Source organism: Homo sapiens, chromosome 10 (genome assembly GCF_000001405.40).
Source record: "Homo sapiens chromosome 10, GRCh38.p14 Primary Assembly".
NCBI lineage: Eukaryota > Metazoa > Chordata > Mammalia > Primates > Hominidae > Homo > Homo sapiens.
The window spans coordinates 72022390-72029672 of NC_000010.11; the positions used below are offsets into that span (position 1 = coordinate 72022390).

Here is a 7283-nt window from a genome sequence, read left to right on the forward strand (position 1 = left end):
AAAAAAAAGCAAAACCCAGTGCTGGTGAAGGTGTGGGGAAACATTCATTCTTTTGATGGGAGACTTCTGAAGGGCAGTTTGGTGACGTGTATCAAACATCTTAACATGTTTCCTACCCTTTCATCCAGCAAATCCAGTTACAGGAATTTATTTTATTTTATTTTTGAGACAGGGTCTCGCTGTGTCACCCAGGCTGGAGTCCAGTGGGGCGATCTCAGCTCACTGCACCCTCTGCTTCCTGGGTTCAAGCTATTCTCCTGCCTCAGCCTCCCGAATAGGTGGGACTACAGGCACATGCCACCACGCCCTGCTAATTTTTGTATTTTGTTTGTTTGTTTGTTTGTTTGTTTGTTTTGGTAGAGACAGAGTTTTACTGTGTTGGCCAGGCTGGTCTCTAACTCCTGGCCTCAAGTGATCCACCCACCTCGGCCTCCCAAAGTGCTGGGATTACAGGCGTGAGCCACCGCACCTGGCCCAGTTACAGGAACTTATCCTAAGGAATTAACTGTGGCTGAATGCTAATATTTAATGTTATTAAACATTAAATGTTGTTTATAATAGTAAAAAACTGGAAAACCACTCAATTGCTGAATGACAGGGGGCTGGTTACATCAGTATGGTTACACATATGATGGATTCTCTGCAGCCATTAAAATGATCATGCAGGTTTTTTCATGACAAAAATGTTTAGGATACATTAGATGACAAAAGTGGGCTGTAAAACAACAAGCGCCATATGACCTCATTTTTGTGAAATGAAGTATTATCTCTAATATGAATATATCTGCACAGATAAATGATTGGAAAGATAGAAACCAAAGTGTTGACGGCCGGGCGCAGTGGCTCACGCCTGTAATCCCAGCACTTTGGGAGGCCGAGGCGGTCGGATCACGAGGTCAGGAGATCGAGACCATCCCGGCTAACACTGTGAAACCCCGTCTCTACTAAAAATAAAAATAAATAAAAATAAATAAAAATTTGCCAGGCATGGTGGCGGGCACCTGTAGTCCCAGCTACTCGGGAGACTGAGGCAGGAGAATGGGGTGAACCTGGGAGGCTGAGCTTGCAGTGAGCCAAGATGGCGCCACTGCACTCCAGCCTGGGGGACAGAGCGAGACTCCGTCTCAAAAAAAAAAAAAATGTAGATTAAACACAACTAAAAAGAAAACAATAAATCTAAAAGAGAGAGCTGAATAAATTATCATGGCATAAACTACCCAGAATGCAGCAGAGAGAGATAAAAACATGAAATGCTAGTTAAAACACAAAGACAAGGCCGGGCGCGGTGGCTCACGCCTGTAATCCCAGCACTTTGGGAGGCCGAGGCAGGCAGATCACGAGGTCAGGAGATCGAGACCATCCTGGCTAACACGGTGAAACTCCGTCTCTACTAAAAATACAAAAAAAAAAAAAAATAGCCAGGCGTGGTGGTGGGTGCCTGTAGTCCCAGCTACTCAGGAGGCTGAGGCAGGAGAATGGCGTGAACCTGGGAGGCGGAGCTTGCAGTGAGCCGAGATGGCGCCACTGCACTCCAGCCTGGGTGACAGAGCGAGGTTCTGTCTCAAAAAAAAAAAAAAAAGAAAGAAACCAAAGTGTTGACAGTAGATGGTGAGTATTTTATGGTTTTCCCTCTCTTTATCTGAATTGTTAACAATTTCTTTAACAAACACGTATTCCTTGTGTCATCACATAGCAGTTAAGAGCTTGGGCTTCAGAGTTAGGCTGCCTGAGTTCAAATCCCAATTCCATCATGGGTTAGCTGAGACCTCTCTGAGCCGCAGTCTTCAGGTACAAGATGGAGAGAATAATAATAAAGCCAAGACGCTGGCTGGGTGGGTGTTGGAAGGCTCTAAGTGAGATGATACAACCCGTGTGCTCCCCCTGGCACAGTACCCCACAGTTATCCATTACTGTTACTGTTATCACCATGACTAATTACTGTTATAATTATTAATATAACCTTTGCAATTAGGAAGGTGAGAAGCCTTGGCCTCTGCCCATATCCTCTGGCCACCCAGAGTCCCCGAGAGCTGTCCCCACCAGCTCTTCCCTGCCAGGTTGGCGCTCGCTCTCAGACTTACTGTGAGGCCTTCAGCCCACACTTGCCAGAACTCCCGTGTTTTCTCCTCCGTGCCCTTTTCTGCAGAGAAGGCTTGGAAGAAACAGCCCAGCAAACACCAGTCTCCTGGCCCCAGAGCGAGACGTGGAAGTTTGCAGAAATGCATCACCAAATGTTTGATTTGGGAGGAGAGGAAGAGCAGAGCTCATACCGAGAGCAAAATAGGACAGAAAGGAGATTTTTCAGTAAGGGCTGAGGAGAGACCATCGTTCATCACTGGGGCCTCCTTGTTTCCTCACTTAGTTTCTTGACTTCAGTCCTGACCACCTCATTTGCTGTGGAACATCTGGCCCCAATATGGGGCTGATTTAATAAATCCAAGACATCTTCCTTTGCCCAGCAGACTTAGAAGAAGCCAAGGAGAAACCCTGTGGGGTTGCCAGCAAGGACCCATAGAGGCAAAGAGACAGACAGGAAAGAGGAGGATGGTGAATAACCAAGTGGGAACCGGGGCGCATCTGGCAGGTGAGCTGAGACCCATGTGTTCAGAAATCAAGATTATGGGCCAGACAGAGGCATGCCCATTGAAGCCAGCAGCAGCCTCCAGAAGCGACCACCTGCCCTTGGTTTCTATCCTTTCCTGTTGTTCCTCACTAGGCAGGAACTGGCTTTATGTAGGTCACAGATTTTCCAGATATGGGAGAACAGGATTTGGGACACCTTGTAGTTGTTACACACACACGCGCACGCGCGCACACATACACACGCCCCCTCCTCCCAGACTGGAGGGCAGAAGGGTCATGGAGCTTCAGCTAGAGTCCCTCCTCCTGTTGGTCTGGCCTGTAGGGATACTGTAGCCCCTCTGCCTGCGGATGTCTCATGACCCCAGACAAAGCAGAGTGACTGTGGCTGACGAGCATGTCGGAAGGGCTGACGGGAGCATCAGGTTGAAAATGAGAGAAAGAAGTGCATGAAAGAAGTTGTGATTCCTAGAAGTTCCCACTCCACCCACTTCCCACAACAACTCCACTACTCCAAATGAGAAATTAATTCCTTCAGGATCAGGGTTGCGAAGGAGGTGCCAAAACCTAAGAAAAAGGCTTTGTGTTTGCAGGGTGTGAACTTGGTTTAAGAGAAGCTAGCCATGACGCAGCTATGGGACGGGGTCCTGGACGTCTCAGCATTTCAGGAGAGTTAGCAAGGCTGCCCTGCGCGGGGGTGGGGTGGATCTCTTCTGTTACTGGTGTTGGAGATAGAACAGTGGTCAGGGACATTAATTGTGGCGATCGATTTTCCTTATTCTCACTTATGTATGTAGAAGAGATTCAATGAATGGTAAAGTCATTATACCCATTCCCCTACAGGGAGTAGAGAGAGACCAGCTTTCCTCATTCTGAACTCTGGCCCTCTACAGGGAAGAAAGAGTCCCCAAACTCAATACTAAACAAACCCAGTGGTTTTCAGCACCGGACACAAGTTAAAATCTCCCACTAGTTCTCACACTTTCCTGGGTATGCGACGCCCTGCTCCTGAAGGCCTTGTTAAAACACAGATCTCTGGACCCCACCCTAACAGCTTTGGATTCTGTTGTCAGGGTGGGGCCTGAGAGTTTGCACTTTAACAGGTGCCCTGGTGATGCTGATGCTGCTGGTCCCCGGGTCCAACTTTGAGAACCACCACCCCACCCCCGGTCCTCAGAGACTGATTTGGTTGGTTTGGAGTGGGGTTTCTTTGGCAGCTGTTGTTTAAAAGCACCCAGGGTATCCCAGAAGAGCCATGGTTCACACCATCAAGGCCAGTTATGGAGAATCTTCTACGAGAGCACATTATAAAAATAAGCACTTTCAGCAGGACGTGGACTCTAAAAAAAATAAATAACATAAAAGTAGAAATAAGCAGAAACATCCAGCTCTCAGTTAAGTACTTGCTAAGCTCCAGCTGCTTCAACCTCATCTAATTCCTGTTCCCTTTCCACATCCTGGTCTTAGCCCCTCTGCAGCTTTGCAGGAGCCGTCTCCACGTGGCCTGGCCTGGCTGAGCTCTGGGGCAGGAGCGCTTGGTGGCATCTCTTGGCTCTGAGTCTACAGTTTCCTTGACATCTTATTGCTCTGATTTTCTCTCAAGTGCCTCCCCTTCTTTCCTTTGTTCTGGGAGAAACATTCCCTCATCTTGTCTATGTGCAGAGATCCCCAATGACTTGCCTTCCTTACGACTGAGCAGATAGAAAGCGACTTGCCTTGGTCTGTGGAATAGCCGATATCCTATGACCCTTATCCCTCCGCCTGGCGAGACCCACATGGACATAAATCACAAGGATGCCAAGGCAAGACTGTGGACCCTGCCTCCAGCCGAGGCCTGGCAGAGGGGAGCTGTGGGCTTCCAGCCCCCTGTGGGAAGATTTACCAAACAAAGAGCAGATGCTTCAAACAATGACTTCATTGCAGACTGGGTCCCAGTACATTCAGGAAGGGAGTGGCCCATGGATGCTGGCCAATCCTACTCAGAGGAGCCTCAAAGAGAAACCAAGCAGGCAAGCCAGTGACCAAGCAGCCACGGTGAGGACTGGGGAGGAAGACATGCACATCTCACCTCTCCTGGGCCAGGCAATTATAGGCAATATCCTAATTAATCCTTATGACGGCCAGGCGCAGTGGCTCACGCCTGTAATCCCAGCACTTTGGGAGTCCAAGATGGGCAGATCAGGAGGTCAGGAGTTCGAGACCAGTCTGGTCAACATGGTGAAACCCCGTCTCTACTAAAAATATAAAACTTAGCCAGGCATGGTGGCAAGTGCCTGTAAGGAGAATTGCTTGAACCTGGGAGGCAGAGGTTGCAGTGAGCTGAGATCGTGCCACTGCACTCCAGCCTGGGCAACAGAGCAAGATCCCATCGCAAAAAAAAAAAATTAAAATTAAAAAAAATTAATCCTTATGATGCCACAGTAGACCTTGATCTGGAAGATGTGACTGCTGACCTATCCTGCCTCCTTGGGTCTGATACAAACAAGCCGAGTGGGAACTGGCAAAAGGGCACGGGTAAGCACTCATGTATGTGCATACAGGTGTGTGTGTGCCTGTGTGCATGTGTGTGTTGATTCCTACCCCTCAGTCTTCCCAGCCCCAGCGCACACAGATTCCATCTTCATTTTCTTAAATCTTCGTCTTTGCCCATAACCTCCCCCATGGAGCCTCCCAGCCTAATTGAAAAAAACAAAAAAAGAGAGAGAGAGAGAGAAATGTTGAACTGTTATATGATTCCCCTTATCTCAAATGGGAGGAAAATCGCTGGAAAGTTTTAAAGTCTAGGTGTCAATAGTCCTGTGAGTCATTTTACGACTGGGTTCGGGCAGCCCCGCAGCCAAGCCCTCTTGCCTCTCTGAATCTGTTTTACCATCTATAAAATGCAGTCAAGGGAGGTGGGGAGGGCTTCCAGTCAGGTTAGTTTCACATCCATGCTTTGAGGCCCTGTGGTCCCAGAAACAGCAATAAACGGGCAAAACATTAAAAGGGAAAATTTATTTTTTTAATTTTTTTAACGTATGTTTTTTGAGACAGAGTCTGACTCTGTGGCCCAGGCTGGAGTGCAGCGGTGTGATCTCGGCTCACTGCAACCTCTGCCTCTAAAAGGGAAAATTTAAAAGCACCCCGTCTATCAGAAAATAAAAGACACAGTCACACTCAAAATCATTTTAGACCTATTTGTGGTACAAAAATGGACCGAAACCCCAATGCTGTAAGGTGCCAGAGACCTGACCTCTTGGGGCTCTGGGTCAGCGTCAGCTGTCTAGGTTGGGTGCGGTGGCTCATGCCTGTAATCCCAGCACTTTGGGAGGCTAAGGTGGCAGGATCACTTGAGCCCAGGAGGTGGAGGCTGCAGTGAGTCATGATTGTATCATCTCACTCCAGCCTGGACGACAAAGCGAGAACCTGTCTCAAAAAAAAAAAAAAAAAGAAGAAGAAAAAGAAAGGTGTTTCTTTATTGTCTTATCGTCTTTCCTGGCATCTCTTACAGCTAGGTGTACCTATGTGACTAATGTCCAACCAATGGAAAGTAAGTGGAAGCGTTAGGTGCGATTTCATAAAGGGAGAGTGGTACTCTTTTTTGCTTCTTCCACCTCATGACAGCTCAAATGCAGACATAATGGCAAGACTCAAGCCGCCATATTGGAGTGTGGGGTAAAAGCCACTCACTGAGGACAGCAGAACTGGATAGACGTCTCCTGAGTCCTTGATAATTATGGAGGCACCACGCTAGCCTTGGACAGCCTATCTCTGGAATGTGTGTGAAGTTTGTGTTTCATAATGTTGCTGTAATTTTGGGTGCTCTATTACTCAAGAGTGAATCTAATCCTCGCTAAATCAGAGGTGTCACACGTCGTGCCACTACTCATTAATTTGGGGCATTAGATTTACTTTCAAATTGTTGTTATTCTAAATAGCATAACATGAACCTCTTTATGTAAAAAACTCAATCTGCATCTCTGGGGTTTTTTTTTCTCGTACTCTATTATCTTCCTAGGATACATTTCTGTTAACAGAATTTTAGCATCAAAGAATATCTAGGCTGGGTGTGGTGGCTCACGCCTGTGATCCCAGCACTTTGGGAGGCCAAGGCGGGTGGATCACCTGAAGTCAGGAGTTCGAGACCAGCATGGCCAACATGGTGAAACCCCGTCTCTACTAATAATACAAAAATTAGCCCGGTGTGATGGTAAATGCCTGTAATCCCAGCTACTTGGGAAGCTGAGACATGAGAATCACTTAAACCCAGGAGGCAGAGGCTGCAATGAGCCGAGATCGCGCCACTGCACTCCACCCTGGGCGACACAGTGAGACTCTGTCTCAAAACAACAACAACAAAAATCTACATTTTAGTATCTCTCAATTCATGCTGCCAACTAATGTTCTTTTTGTTGTTGTTTTTGTTTTTAAAAAATAATAGACATGGGGTCTCCCTATGTTGCCCAGGCTGGTCTCTAACTCCTGGGCTCAAGCAGTCCTCCCACCTGAACCTCCCAAAGTACTGAGATTACAGGCCTGAGCCACTATCCCAGCCTACCAACCAATGTTCTGAAATGGTTGTACAAATGACATTCCTGCCAGTTGCATATTTGAATGCCTATTTCACAGTTCCTGCACTAGTACAGGAGGCAAGGGAGTATACGCTTTCTGTCCCCCAGCCATGCCCTTTGAACCACTCTGGACTTGAGCTGCAGCTGGGCAGT

General features: G+C 47.5%; 1 long non-coding RNA gene across 1 annotated transcript; it reads left to right on the forward strand.

Annotated features, from left to right (window-relative positions):
* The first annotated feature begins 4921 nt into the window (after positions 1-4921).
* Positions 4922-6530, forward strand: LOC124902448 (uncharacterized). The gene is made up of 2 exons (XR_007062187.1): positions 4922-5094; positions 6071-6530. It is a non-coding gene; the product is annotated as an uncharacterized LOC124902448 (long non-coding RNA).
* The last annotated feature ends 753 nt before the right edge of the window (positions 6531-7283 follow it).